The 20916-nt window shown below is 36.8% G+C and overlaps 1 protein-coding gene and 1 pseudogene across 22 annotated transcripts in view; both read right to left on the bottom strand.

Moving 5' to 3' along the window:
- The window catches only part of PMS1 (PMS1 homolog 1, mismatch repair system component), a 93180-nt gene that overhangs the window by 34989 nt on the left and 37275 nt on the right, over positions 1-20916 (bottom strand). Inside the window, exon 1 of one of the 22 annotated variants that reach the window (XM_006712596.2) lies at positions 19941-20511. The exons of the other annotated variants lie outside the window; for them this stretch is intronic. Within the exon in view, the coding sequence (XP_006712659.1) occupies positions 19941-19967 (27 nt within the window). The 5' untranslated portion in view covers positions 19968-20511. Of the gene's footprint in view, positions 1-19940; positions 20512-20916 lie in introns of those variants that run through there. 22 annotated transcript variants of the gene reach the window in all.
- GNPNAT1P1 (GNPNAT1 pseudogene 1) lies at positions 19541-20540 on the bottom strand (annotated as a pseudogene).

The following is a 20916-nucleotide window of genomic DNA, read 5'->3' as shown; positions in this document are numbered from 1 at the left end:
GAGGCAGCTGTCCTCAACACTGGTTCAAATAAACTCTCAATATTAATTCTGCCTCAGCTTCTTCCTTTTAGGTCAACATGGGGTAGATTTTAAGACAATCATGGTCCAGAGAGACTAGACCAAGGTTTGGCTGTGAAGTACATAATCAGATTTGACATACTGCAATTTCTTCAGTTCAACAAGGTCCAATTACAGTCAAATCCCTTGAGAAATCATCAGTACAGGTAGAATTCAACAAATTCACTTAGCAATTCCTAAGTCTGGAGGAAACTGTCCAAAGGGCTTGGGAGAAAACATCAATATCAGCATTAAAGGGGCAGGCACAAGAAGAAAAGGAACCTATAAGGAGTGGTCACAGAGGCAGAAAGAGCAGCAGCAAAGTGTGGTACACAGAATAAGGACGTTTTTGAAGAAAGTAGTCATCATATGTTTCCAATGTTGAGTGAGTATGGTAGGAACAGACGTGGCTGGCTAAACGGCAATCAAGAGTGTGAGAACAGTTCTAGAGAAGTAAATGGAACCAATTTGGATAGTGACTATGGGGAGGATATAAAAAAAAGGACTTTTCTGAAACAAGTGTTTCAGAAAGTCTGGCTGGGAAATGCAAGCAGACAGGGAAATAACGAGGCAGGAATAGGACACATTTGACCAGGAAACTGAAGGGGAAGAATGGGTACACTAGCAAGCAGGTTTGGAGACTCAGTGGCTGGAGGCTGAGACAGCTCCCCTTTGTTCTAAAATGCAGAAAGGAGGTCTTTTGTTGAAAGCAAAATAACAGTGATTTAAATATTTGATGATTATGGAGGAGGTATAAAATTCTGCTTCCCATTCTACATGTGTGAAGTTGCATTGTTTAACCATTTGAAAACCAATGATGTCCAGCACACTCTTGGGAGAGTCTTGTTTTCCTACAGTCTAAAAGAGGCAGAAGTCTATAACAGAGAAAGAGAGAGGAGACTGGACCAAAGGATTCTGGCCAAAGGAACTCCTTAACCATAACCAGGAATCTATGTAGTCAGGAAGTAGTGGTAATGATATTACGTATAATAAGATGAAAGGTGAAGTAAACAGACTCATGTTCTCTAACTAGCACATCAGGAATAGAAATGAAGGAATGCACTCTCCTGGAAAAGGTGACAATAATCAATGACTCTGCTTGCTGATCTGTGCCATCTGCAAACCACTTTGTTTTTAGAGTCTCAAACAGCAACCTGCTTGGGAAAGCAGAGATAGTGTAACAACTACTCAGTAAGACAAATAACTCAACATTTAGTTTAACAGGAAGATCTTTTACCTATTCCTAGAGTTGTATTGATACCAATCAGATAAGAGCTGAAATTTATGAAAACCTTATTCTTTGTTAGGTACTACTGTTCTAGAAACTACTGTTTATTTTCACAATCATTTCAGGTAGGTATTATTATCTCATTTTACAGATGAGGAAACTGAAACTCAAAAGAAATTGTTACACCCAAAGAAACAAAAATAGTAGGTCATGGAACCAAGATCTATACTCAATCTTTTTGGCTCTAAACATTCACTCCTTTTACTTTGCCAATATTTATCCCCTGTCTAGTCAATGACAACAACAATTTAGAACCAACTCCAGACTCTAATTGGGAATTCTCAAAAAGTAAAGGGTCTGACTGACAAATGCATTTTTCATGTATGATTATCCCCCATGGCCTTGTGATACGCTGTGTAATCTCCAATTGAGGGTACCAGTGAAGACAAAACAAAATTATTTTTATCCTATTCAAATAAATAATCTGCTTTTAGGAGGGCAAGGAGTACACTGGGGTTCTCAACTCAAAAAAAGCACATTAGAATAGTAAAGTCCAAAAAGATTGAAAGCTACTATTCTAGCATCCTAAAGTCTGAATATTTTTGAGAATATAGTTCTTGGTAACAACCTTAATCATATTATGCAGATCCTTATACCTAAGGATTTATAAATTCTCAAAAATTTGCATTCATTTTCATACAGATATGCAATAATTAGTATCATAATGCACAGCAAAATAGCAGAGCTAAAAAATAATTCAGGTATTTCTCCATCCTAAATTTCAACTTTTCACTATTATTGCTTTCAAAGTGACCTGTATAAGAAAAAAGACATAAAGTATGTTAAATTAAGTTTAGCCTAAAGTTGCCTCCTTGTATATTTTACATTTGGCCTATAAGTTTCTCCATACATAGTGAAATGTAACCTAAATGGATGTGTCAACAGGCTGTAACCTACTCTTGTACCAATCACAAAGTTTCGGCCAATCACAGGCAGCCAGTTGTTCAAACTGTGTTCAAATAAGGCAAACACTAAGTTATAACCGATCCAGCTGTTTCTGCACCTCACTTTGGTTTTCTGTCCATCACTTTCATTTTTTTTTGTCCAGAAATAACATCTGACCATGCAGCAGCCCTGGACTTGCTCTGAAATTACTCTGGCTCTGGGGGCTGCCTGATTTGTAAACTGTTATTTGCTCAAATAAACACTGTTAAATTTAGTTTATCTAAAGTTTTTCTTTTAACAAGTATATGAAATCAAAGTATAAAAATAAATTGTATACAATTTTAAATATAAGGTATAGGTTCAATGTGTATATTGCATTTCTAAACAAAATTATGGTGTGTTTTGTTAATTACATTTCAAGGCCAATGAAGTAGACTATTTAAATTTGGAATTGCTCCAGGAAATGGGATGTAGAGTCACCATAAGCATATTTTAATCCCTTAATTTCGTCTCATACTATAACATATTTTGGTTAAATAAAAAATTTTAAAGTAACTAATTTTGAGTTTGTTCAACAAATACATATTGAGCATCAATTTTGTTCCAGATTCCATACTAAAATCTGGGAATATAAAGATAAAAGGACAAGGTCCCAGCTCTAAAGGAGCTAAAAATATAAAAAGAAAGCAAAATCTTAAAATAATTATAATACATTATAAAAACTACTATTACATAGCACAGTGGGAGCATCATAGAAGAAACCTAAGTCAGTTGCACAGAGAAGCCACAAGTACAATCAGACTTGACAGGAGTTTGTCTCTAAGACAAATCACAAGAAGTGCATTCCTGACAAATAGGATAGTACATGCCAAATCATGAACATATAGAGAGAATGCCTTGCTAGAGATGAAACTAGACAGATAGGGGCTAAATCACGAATGACCTGGCACATCGTGCAAAGGGGTTTATAGTTTCCCTTACGTGCAATGTAGAGTCACTGGATAAATCTAATTGGGAAAATACCATGATCAGAGATAGATATTAGAAAAAGATCTTTGGCAAGAATGACTTAGTGAGAACTGAAACTATAGCAATATGATTTTTATAAAATGTGATCATAGGCCAGGTGTGGTGGCTCGTGCCTGTAATCCCAGCACTTTGGGAGGCCAAGGCGGGTGGATCACTTGAGGTCAGGAGTTCAAGACCAGCTGGCCAGCATGGTGAAACCCCATCTCTACTAAAAACAAAAAAATTATCCAGGCATGGTGGCGGGCACCCATAATCCTAGCTACTTGGGAGGCTAAGGCATGAGAATCACTTGAACCCAGGAGATGGAGGTTGCAGTGAGCTGAGATCGCGCTACTGCACTCCAATGTGGGCAACAGAGAGAGAGACTCTGTCTCAAAAAAAGAAAAAAAAAAGTGATTGTATTCCTCCAACTCAGAGACTCTCAGCTTTTACGAAAGACATGCAAAACTGAAAGTTCACATTCAAAAAATATTCCGATAGGTGACCTGAGGACTATGTGTAATTAATTCCTAATATACTAGCTATCATGCTACAGCTTTCTCTTCCTCTTGCAAAAGTTCGGTGGAATGCAAGTCAGTGAAACTGATGTTGACAGGATTATTCCCTTAGGTTTTTTTCGTTTGCTTTTTAAGATAAACCATTTGCAAACTTTGGTACTTTACTAGTATTAATATACTGCGGCTGAGAATTACTGGGCTGTGTTAACAGAACCAACACTCTGGTAGGAGGAAAAGAGAAAACGGACAGACTAAAGGGTACGAAATGGGCTTGATGACTGACTCCATGTGGAGAGGGAATAAAAAGAGAAGAATCAAGAATGCCTCCCAGATTTCTGACCTGGGAAACTGGAATGGTGGTAGTAACACTCAACAAGATAAGAAACTCAGAAGAGCAGGATTGGTGGCAGGAAGATGATGAGTTCAGCTTGTTCAGTGTTGAGTGTTGAGTCTCTGGTACCAAGAACAGTACCAGACACCTAGTAAGGCCCACTAAATACTAAATACTTTCGTTAAAGGAATGAGCAAATAAACACATTTTTTTTTCCCTAGGGAAAAGTAACCCCAGTAGAGTTGAAAACTAGCTCTTTGTTTTCAGAGATAAGGCTGCTAGTTGTCACACCACCATACCTGTTAAAATTACACTTTTTGTCTACTACTTGACCTAAGGAAATCCAAACCAATCTTTGCTTTTCTTTCCTCTTAACATAACAGTTTAAGGTATAATTCATATACTCTACAATTCACCCACTTTAGATTTATAATTCAATGGTTTTTATTATTCACAGAGCTGTGCAACCAACAGCATGATTTAATCTTTGAACAATTTTATCAGTCCAAAAAGAAAACCTATATCCATCATCAGTGACTCCTATCCCTTTTCAATCACTAATCTATCTTCTCTCTATATAAAATTTGCCCACTTAGGATGTTTCATATAAATGGAATCATACAATATATGGTCTTTGATTGGATTCTTTCACTTAGCATAACCTTTTCAAGTTTATTTATATCAGTACTTCATTCCTTTTAAATGGCTGAATAATATTCCATTGTAGATAATACATTTGAATTATCCTTTTATGAGTTAATGAGCATTTGAGTTGTTTCTACTTTTTGGCTATTATAACTGATGCTGCCATAAACATGCATGTTCATGTTTTTATGTTGGCATATGTTTTCATTTCTCTTGGGTATAGATCTATGAGTGGAACTGCTGGGCCACATGGTAGCTCCATGTTTTTTGAAGAACTGCCAGACTGTAATCTTTGCGTGCACATGCACTCTGGAAAGGCAAACTACTGGCTTCTGCTATTATGGCTCTAGTTTTAAGCCAGCCAACAGCTAATAATTTAAGGAACAATGTTCAAAATTAAAGGAAGTAAATAAGGTTCTGAATAATCTGCAATTACAGGAAATGAAATGTCCCCTGCTTCATACTTTCCACATCAGAAGTTCCTTATGACAAAGAATAGCTGAACCATAAAAACTTATTCACAAGGCTAAGGTGGGAGGATCACTTGAGGTCCGGAGTTCAATACCAGACTGGGCAACATAGTGTGACCCTGTTTCTATAAAAAAAAAATAAAAAATTAGCTGGGCATGGTGGCACATGCCTGTAGTCCCAGCTACTCAGGAGGCTGAGGTGGGAGTGGCTCACCCTGCACTCCAGCTTGGGTGACAGAGCAAGACCCCCTCCCTAAAAAGAAAAAAAAAAAAACACCAAACTTATTCACAAAAAGTGTACCTCTTTAAAGGAATGCTAACTCTCTGATATTGACATTTTTAAAATAAAGCATTCAAGGAAATATTTCAAAAAACTAATGTTTTAAAATTCCTGCACTGAATATAGCTAAAAAGCCTGCAGTGTTACTAATGTAAACATCATCTTGTTTATTTTAGTTTATATTAGATGCCTTAGATACAGATATAAATCTTAGCTGCTGATTAATGCAAGGATGCTATTTCACTGCCTGACCTGCTGAATAGTTAGTATACACAACCGTAAAAAGATCACTTCAGGAAATCGGTCCTAGAAAAAGCTGTGAAACATGAGAACTATGCAATGTGATTTCACTTTAAAGTAAACATGCTAGGAGTCTGGGAGCATTATTTCACACTAGGCAATTTTTATTGCATCAGATCGAGGGGCTAATTTAAGAGCATTTTCTAAACTAGTTACACTTGGGCTAGCAATAAATAATAGCGGTCTGCCAACAAGTAAAATCTTCTCATTGGGCAACTAAGATTCATTTTCAAAACAGGACCCATCACTAAAAAACTAAACTATAAAATGTGATGAATAAGAACTGGGAATACTGGGAATCCAGAATACAGTATTCAGTTTGCTTTCTCTACCGTTTCATCAATTCTATGTTATTTTCAAAAACAGAGATTTTCTTTTCACTTCCTGAAGGTTTTTGTAAATCTTGCCCTTAGGCCGAAAGCTTAACATGTGCTAAAAATACACACAAACCTCCATATGTTTTCTATCTAGGTCACACAAAGTTGGAGCACCTGGATGTGCCAACTAAGAATCTGACTCTAGTCAGTATGATGACAGTGCAAAAACACCTCAAAAATATATTATTACATGCACACCATCTTAGGTTTGAAGTTAGCCAAATATATCTTGCCCCTAATTCCTACCTCACTGACATACGCTACTTGAAGAAAATGAAGTTAGATGAGAATACTCGATATTTAATTAGTAAACCTCAATTGTTTGTAAAGGCAATTTGTGATAAAGAGAAATGTAGGCTGCACACAGATGATGCATAGTTAAGTGAATAGTACAATGCTAAAACTGCTTGAGCAAAGTCAACTCCTTCTAAATAAAGAGGATATATTATTGGCCTAGACTGCAGCCAAAATTCTTGCAAATTGTAGGCACAGATGTACTAAGCTCATATTTGGATTTTTTTTTTTCCACCAAACAAGAAGCAGCACCAATGAATTTTTTTTTTTTTTTTTTTTTTGAGACAGGCTAGAGTACAGTGGTGTGATCATAGTTGACAGCAGCCTCAGCCTCCTGGACTCAAGGATTCTCCTGCCTCAGCCTCCCGATTAGCTGGGACTACAGGTGCACACTACCACGCCCAGCTAATTTTTTTGTACGTTTTGAAGAGAAAGGGTTTCACCATGTTGCTTAGGCTGGTCTTGAACTCCTGGACTCAAGCGATCCTCCCACCTTGGGCTCCCAAAGTGCTGGGATTACAGGTGTGAGCCACCATACCCAGGCAAATTTCTTAAGTACCATAAGTTTACTTCTAAGATCTTACAAGTTACTATAAATAGATCTATATCTATTATTATTTACTCCTGCGTATGTACTTGCACTGACTCTGACTCCAAAAAGTACAGAGGCACAAACACAATATTTAAAAGGTTGTTTTATTTCCCACATTGGCAACACAGGAACAATATGAGCCACAGCAGCTTACCACTAAGACACTGCTAAATGTTTTGAATTCAGTATAAAATTATAGATTATTCCATCACAGTATCAATACTACTGTTAAAAGAACAAACCACATTCTACTGACATAATAAACATTAATATGAATTGATTATTGCTAAGCAGCCTCAAACTTTCAAAAATGATTGTCTTGGTAAAATTTATGCAGTATAAATGAGTTCTAAAATCTCTTACACTTATTTAATTTTATATTCTTTTCTTGAAAGAGAACATGCATAATTATTTTTCCTGAAGGTTGCAAAGAAATTAATAGACATTTTACCTAAAGAAGGGGCAGTTTATAGGAGCTAGGCAGATGAAAGATAAAGAAAAGAATAATTTTTTCATTCTACCTTTTCATACATTTTTGGGTTTTCAACCATGTAAAGGTATGATCTTTTAAAAAATTAAATAATAAGCTGGGCATGTTGGTTCAGGCCTGTAATCCCAGCACTTTGGGAGGCTGAGGCAGGAGTTCAAGACCAGCCTGGGCAACACAGTGAGACCCTGTCTCTACAAAAAATTAAAAAATTAGCCAGTTATGGTGGCATGCACCTGTGTTCCTTGCTACTCAGAAGGCTGAGGTAGGAGGATCACTTGAGCCCACGAGTTTGAGGCTGAAGTGAGCTATGATCATGCCTCTGCACTCAAGCCTGGGCAACAGAGTGAGACCCTGTCTCTAAAAATAAAATGAAATAGAATAAAACATTAATAAAAATGTAAAGGTATAAAGTTAATCTCTGCATAACTTTCAAAGGGATATTGTTGAGACTCATTTCTTTGCAGTCTTTAAAAACAAGAAAGATTATTTCCAATTCGTAATCAAATCTTATTTACATCGGAAATATTTTTCTTGCCTAGACCCTCTTCTCCATTCCTTGTGTAACTTGCCAGACAACGAGATCATTTTCCACATTCTTAACAACAATTAAACATAATTTAGTCCATCCTCCAACTGCAATGAGAATTATCTTATTTTGTTAGTCTCCTACTGAAATGTCTCATTTAGTTCCCTCTTGGTCACTTCAACAAGAAGTACACATTCCCATGTAAGATACACAAGGTCCTTCAGAATCTGGCTCCAAGCAAGCTTCGTAGCCTCATCTCATTTCTTAGACAAGCTTTCTCTGACCTCTGATGACTCCCTGACATTGCACATGCTGTTCTCCCTGCTTTGAATACCTCTGCCCACATAGTCTTTCCGAAGAACCAGTCTTAAGGCCACTTCCTCTAATAATCCTTTTTGACTCTAATCAGATTTTAAACAATATTCACATCAATAACAATAGCAATTAACCTCTACTGAGTACTTATGGAGCAGGCGCTGTGCTGTGAATGCTCTCATTTAAAAACCTTACTCTGTAAGGTAGGTACTATTATTCCATTTTAAAGAGACAAAGAAATTGAAGCCTAGACACGTAATGTAAGCCAGTTAGTGACAATATGTAAGGTCAGAACTGGAAACTATGCTCCAGAGTCTATTTTATTGATATGTAGTTAAGTAAGTTCTTCCTAAGGATGAAAGGAAGATTGTGGTGGTCTCTGAAAGTTCTATAATTTTTTCCTCAAAAGTAAAAATCTTGAAGATCTAAAGCACTTCCTATAACAAATAAAGGAAAAAAGATTAATTAAGAATTATTCTCATCCATCAAGACAAGTCTCCCACATAGTGCTGCTACAGGTATGGTTTCTTCCAGCAGGGAAGTAGGGGGGGTTCAGGTTTTTAAAAATAATCATATCATTATAACATTTAAAGTTTATAAGCAAAGCCTAATGAAAAAGTATCAGTTGGTATATATGAAATATTTAATTACCCAAATGAAAATGAATTTACTTCTTTTTTGTTTTTGAGACAGTCTCACTCTGTCACCAGGCTGGAGTGCAATGGCGTGATCTCAGCTCACTGCAATCTCTGCCTCCCAGGTTTAAGTAATTCTCCTGCCTCAGCCTCCTGAGTAGCTGGGACTACAGGCGCGTGCCACCATGCCCAGTTAATTTTTGTATTTTTAGTAGAGACGGGGTTTCACCATGTTGGCCAGGATGGTCTCTTGACCTCATGATCCACCTGCCTCGGCCTCACAAAGTGCTGGGATTACAGGTGTGAGCCACTGCACCCGGCCATAAATTTACTTCTTATATTAACTATATTTAAATAACTAATGGAAAGCAAATTTTGTTTCTTATACTAGCCAGCTCAAGCTTTAACTTAAATATAGGTCACTGCAACTACGAGAAAAGGTCAACACTATTCTATGAGAAGCAAATCAACAGTAAGTTTACTCAAATTTCACACAGAAAAGGAAGAAGAAAAAGAAGTTAATGTGTGTTTTTAGACATTGGGGATGAATTTTAAAAACGTACCTTTTAGAACTCTCTTGGCCCACTTACCACATTAAAATGTGTAACATTCTGTTTTCAAGAACAAAGCTGGCAGAGGGAGATGGTTGGTCTTGACACTAGTAATAATATTCAGGAGCTGTTCAATACAGTAGTATCCATTTTGTATTTTATTATTTAAAATACATAATAAAATGATTTAGGAATAGGAGACTACTATTTAAGTAACAAATATTTCAATAACTGGCCTTCTAAAGTTCACTACCTACCTTTCAAACAGCACTAAAGTTAGGTAAATACGACAATATTTGAAGCTCTCTTCTCTGCCTCTATATTATCTGTACTTCTTAATACTGTTTAAAGAAAACGTGACCAGGTGTGGTGGCTCACACGGTCAGGAGATCAAGACCATCCTGGTTAATACAGTGAAACCCGGTCTCTACTAAAAATACAAAAAATTAGCTGGGCATGGTGGCACGCGCCTGTAGTCCCAGCTACCCGGGAGGCTGAGGCAGGAGAATCGCTTGAACCCAGGAGGCGGAGGTTGCAATAAGCCGAGATTGTGCCACTGCATTCCAGCCTGGGCGACAGAGTGAGACTCCATCTCAATAAAAAAAAAAGAAAACCCTTCTGGTCAGCCTTGCTGATAAGTTCTTCAGTCTTTGAACCCTGAGGCAATTGCTCATTTCTAACATATTTGACTTTACAGAAAAGGTTACTCACAAATCAAGCTGCTATTGCTTTGTAACAACATAGCAGTATTTGATTTCAGCCTTTACTATTTTCATTTAATAGAACACCCTATAGATTACATTGTTTTTCATTCAAAATGAAGCCATCCCAATCATCTCTTCTGCATTACAACTCCATCCTCTACATGATTCTTAAGTTATTCTCCTTCAAATTAAGACCAAACACACAGACACTGAGCTTATAACACTCCCATCAGCTAGCTCCCTGGTACCTAACCAATGTTATTTCCCTTCCCATACAACCTATTTTGTTCAGGCAAACATCTCAACAATATGGTTCTTTATTCTACTTCTGGGCCTTTTTTCAAAACAAGCAACAAGTTTTAAGGGTAACAAATAACATCCACTGGGAGGCCGAGGCGGGAGGATCATTTGCGGTCAGGAGTTTGAGACCAGCCTGGCCAACATGGTGAAACCCCATCTCTACTAAAAATACTAAAAATAACCAGAAATTGCTTGAACCTGGGAGGCGGAGGGTGCAGTGAGTTGAGATCATGCCACTGCACTCCACCCTGGGCAACAGAGCAAGATTCTGTCTTAAAAAAAAAATTTTTAAATTTTAAAAAATAAATACTATCCAGCCTAGAGCTGATTAGCTTTTCTCTCTGAATTGACTAACAACTCTCTACTGGTGCAGTAATGATTTCACTTTAAAAGTTTTGTTTCTATAAGCTTCTTTTAGGAGTAAAATCAAAATTATGTCAGTGTAATTCATGAAGGTAATACATTATAGGAGAAACTCAAATGTGTGCATTCAGGGTTTAAAAAAGGATGCAGTATTATTTCCTTAGGCATATAAGTTAAATAAATCAGTTATCTTCAAACCTTTTCTGGTCCTTTGCCACTCACAGCTAGTCCCATTGATTCTTCCTCATAATAGCTATAAAAGAAAATAGACACTTTGTGCTTTTCACACCTAATGTGTTTGTCTGAATTCAGGCCCTTAAAGCCTACAATTTATAGCAGCTTCCTAAATGTTTATGGTCTCCCTAGCTCCTCCCTGTAGAGTACTGCCAAACTGACTTTCAAAGGTAGCAGCATCTTGATCATGTCAATTCCCTACTTAAAAACTTTTAATGCCTTCCAATTTTCTCATTTAAAAAGTTTAAATTGCTGGATTTATCTTCCTCTATTCTCTCATATTAAATACCAACTCATTTAAAGAAACTTCTTCACTGCCTCTAAATGTGCTCTCCTGCCTATGTATTTTATGTTTAAACTATTTCTCTATCTCTACTTAGAATAATCTTGACCATTTTATCCACATAACCAAATTCTGCTGTAACAAAATTTTCCTATAACCCAACCACCTGGGGGTCCTAGATGAAAATCACGTTCAGAGTTGTTCCTACTCCACTGAATGAATACCACCCACCTACCAAGTGGCCAGGCTCACCCCTCCCTTTTTGGTGACTTTCTAGAAGTCTCCCAACCAATAGAAGTGGGAAGTGTCTAGAGTATGAGAGCTAATACTTGCTGTTTTGCTATCTCTCTGTCCAGTTGTTACCTTTAATCTACACTGATACCATCTGCTTCTGGATCTCAGGTGCTTTAAGGCCTACGCTTACAGTCCAGCTGGGCTGGTGCCACCAGCATAATGGAGTGCTCCTGTTCTCAGCCCTTGATCCTGTTGTCAGCCCTCATTCATTTGACATGTTTTTTGAGCACCCACTTGAGGCACTACTGTAAGCACTAGGGATATGACAGTGAAAAAAGAGCCAAAGTCCTTCCCTTCAAGGAAATTATATTCTAGAGGAGGAGAGAGAATAAATCAAGACAAATAAAATATATAGCATATTGGATACTGATAAGTTCAAGAAAAATAAAGCAGGAAAGTGGGGAAGCGGGGGGACAGGGGAAATGGTTGCAATTTTAGGAAGGCTAAAGAAAGCCTCACGGAGAAAGTTTAAGTGAAGACCTAAAAGTTGAGGATTGAACCAGTTACTTGAGGGAAAATGTTCTAGGCAAAGAAACTACAAATGCGACAGTCCTGAGCTGGAAGCATGACTCGCAGGTTCCAGAAACAACTGAAGCAAAATGAGCAAAAGGAAAAAGATTAATGAAATCAGAGGTAAAGGAGGCATCAGATCTACGGAGGTCAGCAAACTACAGCCCATGGCCTTCCTGTTTTTGTAAATAAAGTATTATTGTTTATGGCTACATTCACACTACAACAACAGGGCTGAACAGCTGTAAGAGAAACTATACGGCCCTAAAAACCTAACATATTTACCATCTGACTCTATACAGAAAAAAATATACTGACCCCAATAGAGAATTCACAGTCCGCTTATAAAGGCTTTGATTTTACTCTGAATGAGATGGGAACTAATTAAACATGAGTTATATGATCTGACACATTTTTACAGAATCACTGAGCTGAAAATACACTGAAGAGGATAAGAAGTAAGCAGGGAGAGTCCATTAGGATACTATTACAAAAATCCAGGTGACAGATAATGGTGGCTTGGACCACAGTGGTAGTCACAGACATGGTGAAAAGTCGTTAGATTCTGGATATATTTTAAAGATAGACCTACGGAATTTACTCTGGAATCAGATTAGAGTGTGAGAGAATCAGTAGCGAAGAATAACCCTAAGGCTTCTGGTTTGCTGACTGGAAAAACAGGAGTATGACTGTCTGGCAGCATGAAGATTAATGCTCATGAATTTACAGAGGCACTATTCAGCATGGGTGTGGGTTTTCTTCCCCTACATACTGGCTCAGATACCAAAATGATGACCAGATGGATTTAATCAGGATTTAGTCAAACAAGTACAATTAAGTGAGAAAGGACCAAGAGAACTGACAGAGTGCCCAAGAGAAGGATGATAATGATGGACCACAAAATTTAAGCAGGGTAAGGAGAGAACCAAGGACACCAGGGGGCAAGAAACAGTTAAAAAGCAGTAGGAACAAGGGATCACAGGTCCAACAGAGTCTAAGGATTGTTGAAGAGAGTAAGATAGAGAGGCATCAGGTAGTGATTAGAGAAGGAACACATTAACAGTGAAATTATGGAGTGAGTGTGGTTTTGGGCAATGACAAGGTCTACGGTATATTTATGTTATGTTTACACACTTTCACATCTTATCTCCTCATTTACATCGTAACTTTCTTCAGAGTGCAAGCCATCACTTAACCCTTCCAAAGCACCTACTCAGTACTCTGAGTATAGTTGGTGGGAGGAAGCTACAGTAAGGGAGGATGAATGATGCATTAAAAATTAAGATATGTGAACTGTAGTTCATCCTCTACTATATTCAATGTTTAAGTCATTGGGCAATCCACTAAAACTCTTGGGGTCACATAAAGGTAAAAGGGGAGGTGGACAGGATTAAAAACACTATTTGCTAAAAGATTTGAGGCAGGACAAAAAACATTTTCAGTGGTCTTTTCAGATGTAAAGATCTAAGGATCCTTCTACGTCCTCTTTTTTTTTTTTTTTTTCAGAGACACACTTTGAGCTGCTTTCTCACAGTGAATTAAACTGTTTACCAATCAGTGAACTCTGTCATCAAATGTTTAGAACATGCTTTCTAACTATGGTTTTGACCATTGCGACTTATGGCAGAGTTTATATACAAAGGTTGAAAAGCTAAGTTTGGGCATGTTTCTTCAGAGATGCATTGTGAGCTTATTTATTACAGTGAACTTAATGTTTACCAGTAAACCCTATAATCTAGTTTTTTCATCTAGAGCATGATTTTTAACTATTTTAATTTTACCACTGTGACACTGTGAAGAGTTTACATATACAGGTTGAAAAGCTAAATCTGAGAATGTTTCTTCAGAGATACATTGTGAGAGATGCTTTATTACAGTGAAGTATTTACCAGTGAACTCTGCAATTGAGTGTTTAAAGCATTTGATTTTAAATTTATAATTGACACACAATAATTACACATTTATGAGGTACAATGTGATGTTTTAATGCATGTATACATAATACAATGATCAAATCGGGGCAATTACCCTATCATTTCAAACATTTCTCATTTCTTTGTGATGACAACATTCAAAAGCTCTTCTAGATATCTTGAAATACACAATACACTGTTATTTGCTATAGTGTCCCTACGGTGTGACAGAATATAAGAACTTATTCTTCCTGGGCCGGGCGCAGTGGCTCACGCCTGTAATCCCAGCACTTTGGGAGGCCAAGGTGGGCAGATCACGAGGTCAGGAGATCGAGACCATCCTGGCTAATATGGTGAAACCCCGTCTCTACTAAAAAAAACAAAAAATTAGCCGGGCGTGGTGGTAGGTGCCTGCAGTCCCAGCTATTCGGGAGGCTGAGGCAGGAGAATGGCGTGAACCCGGGAGGCGGAGCTTGCAGTGAGCCGAGATCACACCACTGCACTCCAGCCTGGGTGACAGAGCAAGACTCTGTCTCAAACAAACAAACAAACAAACAAACAAAACCTTATTTTTCCTAACCATAACTTTATCCCCATGGACCAACCCCTCCAGTTTTCCTCCTTCTCCCTCCCCTCCCCAGCTTCTGGTAACAACTATTCTGCTCTCTATTTCTATGAAATCAACTTTCTTAGATTCCACATATAAGTGAGATCATGTGGTATTTGTCTCTCTGTGCCTGGCTCACTTCACTTAACATAATGTCCTCCGAGATCATCCATATTGCTGCAAACGACAGGATTTCAGTCTGTTTTATGGCTAAATGGCATTCTGTTGTATATACAGTGGATACACATGATATTTTCTTTATCCATTCATCATTTGATGGGCATTTAGGTTGAAAATCAGTATGTCAAAGAGATCTGCATAACCATGTTTATTGCAGAACTTTCTACCTTTTATTATTTTATGATTTCATATATGAACTCAGTAGAACTTCTAAGTAAAAATGTGAAATTCCAATTTTCTAAGAAAGAAATGAAGTGCTCAAGATATACATATGTAAACATCCTTAAAAATCAAAGAGTTTTAGAGTTAAAAAGGGCCTTAGAGATCATGTCATTGACTTTCATTGGCCTAATCTCAAAAAGCTACATTTGTACAGGATTCTCTGGGTATTATTGTTTGGAAGAGAAATCTACAGTGTTGGAATAGAGAAATGTGTGTTTGGGTTAATAATAAGTATATAAAATGTATGTGGTTAGAGGATCAGTAAAGGAACAATTATGTTGTTCTATTTGACTGTTAATAGCAACAAAATACATTAAATTGACAGCTCTTAGAGACTGTCCATCAAGTGTTTCCCCTCAACTGCCCCATCCATGCAGTCTTTATATGATTCTTTATTAGTTCTAAAGAAGATGTATCAGTGACTTAGCTTCCAGGAAGGGCAATGGACTAGAATTGTATATGTGAATACAAGTGAAAATATACTCCCTAAATACATAAGAGGTCACCAAGGAATTCAAAAGAATGAATTTTATTAATAAATATTATGAATAAGGTCTGAGAGAGGCCAGAGTGTTTAAAACTAGTGTTTCATACACTTACTATTTTGGCTTTAACACTACCTAATTAATTTAATATTCCATCCTGTACTATGCACTCACTATTAAGGGGAATATAGATGAACTAGATGCAGCCCTCCCTCCTATAAAAGGCTGTCAAATAGGAAAGAAAGAATGCAAATCACTGCCACTGAAGCAAAATGACATAACAGAAATACGTGGAAAACAAAATGAGAGCAGTTGAGGAATAATGTCCTACTGAGGGATAATGGAAGACTTCAGAGACTCCTAATAGTGCTTACAAACATAAAACTACACTAAAACTTGACTTATATGTCTTTCATCTTTTCTATATTTCACAAAATTTAGGTGAAAAGTAATCCTTAACAAAAGAGGAACACATGAAAACCATTTAATAAATTTAGTAATCATTAATTTGTAAGTAGCAAAAAAAAAAAAAAGACCCCAAACCAAACCATATTGATAATCAGCCCCAAGCTAATCTTAAAATATATCTGAAAAGATGTCCGCCTTCTTTAATTAAAAAAGAAACAAAAACAAAACACACCCAAACTTTCCAGATTGGCACTGGAATAATTCATTCCTAAGGAAGGGGCATTTGAGCCACACTCCTGAATTAGAACCTCTCTCTGATTATACTGACTCCACATTCCTGGCTGGGATTGCGGGAGGGGAACTGACCCTTAACATTGGTCCAAATGCGGCAAAAGACTTTTCTTTGATTCCCCATAGCACAGGCGAAACAAACCTGGGACATTCAAGATGATCACGTAAAAGGTTAGAGAAGGATAAAATGACCATGGAGAATATCATGAGTGCAGGGGATATATATTATAGGGCATCACTTATTTATCTTCATCTTATAAACCAAATCTTCAGCCACCACTCACTGCCAAATCTCCACGGCCAGTTTTTTGGGTCTCTGTTCCTGGTTAAGGGCCTGCATCTTCCCAGATTAACTGAATTCAGAGATATTCAACACTTCGGAGCTGACATCATTCTTACAGAGCACAAAACATACAAAGAAACAACAACAACAACAAAAACAAAGACAACACTGAAAACCAACATCTCAATAAGCCTTAATGCTCATGTGATATAGAAGTGGGAATAGGAAGGAAAACATTCTTTAATTCATGTCTCTCTTTCGTAACAGTTAAAACCTTCTTTTATCAATGACATCCAATTCAGCTTTTGCAATACCAGTGGGCCTCTAATTATCAAAACAAAATTCAATCAAAACAATTCTTAAAACCACAAATAATATTTTTGGAAAAGCAAGTACACACACAAATCAGCAATTATAATGTATATAGGAGTAGCCCTTATTTGAAATCATACATTTCACATTATGTTCTGAACTAGTGGTCTAGGAAATTATGCATTGTCATATGAAATAGCTAAGAATACTAAAGTGGTTTCAGATACTATAATATTGAGAAAAAACTGTTAATTCTGCAAAATAACTACTTTATAAATAAAAATATTTACAGTAGGACCTCACAGGGATTCAGTTATTACAACTAAAGCTTCTGTAGTGCTCATCTAAGGAATGGCTCTAGCAGTTCTCCAAATAATATCTACTTTAAATAAACTCACTGAATCCACTTGTAAATTATTTCCCTTTGGCTGTGTCATTATTCACTATGCTTTCAAGGAACATGGTGATGAAAGAAGAAAAATACCTCTTTCTAACATAACCATACTGGCAAGAACATCAACATTATCAGTATTCAAAGAATGTCTTGGCAGGTTAAACCTTCATAAAAAGAAAGAACACTATCTAATCCAAGTTATCAAAATAGCAATAGTACTTCTCGTATTATGCGCAATATGATTGTTTGTCTCTAATGCAGAAAAAAAATAAAGACAACAATATCGTCAGGTTTAAATTCTAAGCAGACAAAAAAATTCTTTACAAAAAAGTACATATAGAATGATGAAAGTAGGCATGCTTAAAAGAAAAAGGCTAAGAGCAAAGTAGGACTCAATGTTCAAAGAGATTTATAGTAACATGTCATTGCTATTTTGGGAGGTTTAACAATATATTTTAACATTTTAAAGGTGCAACAGCACTATTAAGAAATATAAAAATAAAAAAATCTACTATGAGAAAAAAGCTTGAACATAAATAGCTTGTTCTAATTCAGTCCATGATTTCTCTCTATAATAGCTAATACTTAATTTTACAAAAAGACTTTTAAAAACTTTATATTACTTTCACAGTATAATCATTTCAACATACTCTCCAGGATTTGAACTGCATCTGAAATTACTGAAGGCTATAGAGGAACTTGTGTTTGCTAAATATAAGTTCTGATACAGTGTCCTCCGAAAATAATAAAATGTAGTACACTATAAATACTGCTTTCCAATTTCTTTTATTTCCTAACAGAAAATTACTCATCATATGAACAGGTTTAATGTAACATGGAATGCAAAAAATTAGAACCATTAAACTATTTAATTCTTCAACTTTAAAAAATAATTAAAATAAATAAAATAAAAACAGGATAATGACCAGAATAGTGCCATTATAATCACACTAAAAAGTAAAGCTTCCATCAACATTTTATGAATTTGACAAATCTGGTACAATATATTTTTAAGTATTGTTTCAGTATTGTATTTCACTCAATTTTGTGATACTCCATTTTTGAAAAACCTGTTACTCAGAAGGGAGGCTTCAGATACCCATGAAAAGAAAAAAATCAAGGTAGAAACACATATGCTGAGGTTTGCTAATTCACTGTTTAAAAAGTACCTTAGATGTCCCACCATAATTGCTCTTAGGTGTTTTTAACAAAGGAACAGTTATAATTCACAGATAAGACAAGTGGTACTTTTTATCTACATAGACCTATATAAACTTTTAGTAAAACATTTAAATTGTTTTACTTTTAATCTTGTCAAATAATTTTCATTTCTTCTACTTCTTTAAAAGGCTGACCAGGTTATTTGCCTGTATTGGGATCAACAAATGTTGGACTACACTGTGTTTAGTTATAATAACTAATTTATCCAGCCTGACTTTATATGTGGGAAACGATACACCCCTAAGTGTACTGAGATGTTTCTTTGAAACAAAAAGATTAAATTTTATGCCTGTGATAAAAAACAGCCTTATTCAATAAATACTTTATATGTGGGAAACGATACACCCCTAAGTGTACTGAGATGTTTCTTTGAAACAAAAAGATTAAATTTTATGCCTGTGATAAAAAACAGCCTTATTCAATAAATACTTTTTTTAAATGAGCAACACGGCAGACATATAACTCCTTATTACCCATACTCTTAACTACCAAGAAATGAAGCCAAACTTTTGGAAAAATACAATGCAAGAAAAGATTCAAGTTTAAAATATATTCCCTTGGTTAAAAATCATCCCCTTAATCGAACAATGAAAACACTTGGACACAGGGTGGGGAACATCACACACCGGGGCCTGTTGAGGGGGTGGGAGGAAGGGGGAGGGATAGCATTAGGAGATATTCCTAATGTAAATGACAAGTTAATGGGTGCAGCACACCAACATGGCACATGTATACATATGTAACAAACTTGCACATTGTGCACATGTACCCTGGAAGTTAAAGTACAATAATAAAAATAAATTAAAAAAATAAAAATAAAATCTAAGCAGAAAGCAAAACAAAACAAAAAAACAAAACAAAAAAACCCAAATCTGTGAGTTTTTTCAGTTAAATTTTAGGAGTAACGGGGTATTTGTTTTTAAAGATCCAAAGTTTTAAAGGTGACTGCCTAGTTTTAGAGATCAAGACATGAATTATGTAAAATAAAATAAAAAAAGAAAAAAGAGATGAAAAAAATCCCCTTTATAATATTCATTTGTAATCTAAATTCACAGCATTTCCCACCAGCCCAAAGTAATCTCGTAGATGTCATTATACTTGTAGTATTACAATGTTTTCTCAGTCTACTATTTATGGAGGTCACTCTGCTGCAGCAACAAAATATTTTAACTCTAGGAAGAGTGGAGCCTTGTAGCATTAGCTCCTTTGACAATTTTCTTATAAGATTTTTACTCTAGAAACAGACACATGTAGTTTTCTTCAGATACAGTATATCCAAACTTTTTATAGAAACCAACATTTTGTGGTAGACATTCAAGGGTAATCTTGTAACAGTTCAGTTTCTTGCTTAGCAAAGTAAGGGTTGATACTAACAATTAGCCGAGCTGCTTTCCTCTGCATTCATCACTAACGACAACATCTTCTACTCTTACTCTCTTAGCACAGGAATGGATGAATTTATGTTCTATTATCAGAGTTGCTGTAGCAACAATCTGTCCTAGAGTCACATCTTCTACAACTGTAACATAATCCCCAGATTTCTTCATATACTCAAAAGATTTCATAAACTGTTCAGGGCTGACAACTCCAGTCTCGATCAGCTGACCCAATACCTTAAAAAAAAACCCTCTATTTAAGTCAGCAGTACAAAGAGGCCACAAAATCAAGCCTTCTCCAGGATGTGTTGGGGAAATGGCTGGAGAAAATGTAGCTGTATTCTGCCTCCAGTCCACTTCTTCGAGTAGACTTGGGTCAAACATAAGAGTTTCATCAGGTTTCATCTTTCTAGTAAGGTCGGTAGAGGCCCCGCAGTCGGTGCTCCTACCCAGGCGCATCGGACTCTCCCCGACCAGGGTGCACAGCAACGGATCCGGATCCGACTTCAGCGCCAGCCCCGCCTCCTCCTCCACTGCCCGCGCCACAGTCGGCAACCGCGGCCCACATGTCCCGTGCCAACGCCTCCACCCTGCCTCTGCCCTCTCACGCAGGACACGCGCAGGCAGGGGGAGGTGGAGGCCCGAGGCGCCACCCGCCCCGCCCGGAGAGCGAGTGGCGGGGCGCCTGCTTTCCAATTTCTAAAGAAAATACCCACATTGATAATCTTACATTGGTTGGGAAAATGATATAAACCTCTCAAAAAAACTTAGAAGATACATATTTGACTTGAAATAAGAACTCTGTCATTTCAAATATTTCTAATATATTCATTTTTATCACGTGAAGTAATAATCTTGTTTTTACCTATTATTTATTTATTTATGTTTTGGAGATAGATTCTCACTCTGTCGCCCAGGCTGGAGTGCAGTGGTGCGATCTCGGCTCACTGCAACCTCTGCCTCCTAGGTTCAAG

This window comes from Homo sapiens, chromosome 2 (assembly GCF_000001405.40).
Source record: "Homo sapiens chromosome 2, GRCh38.p14 Primary Assembly".
NCBI lineage: Eukaryota > Metazoa > Chordata > Mammalia > Primates > Hominidae > Homo > Homo sapiens.
Note: the sequence above shows the minus strand (reverse complement) of the source record. Positions and strands in the feature narration are given on the sequence as shown.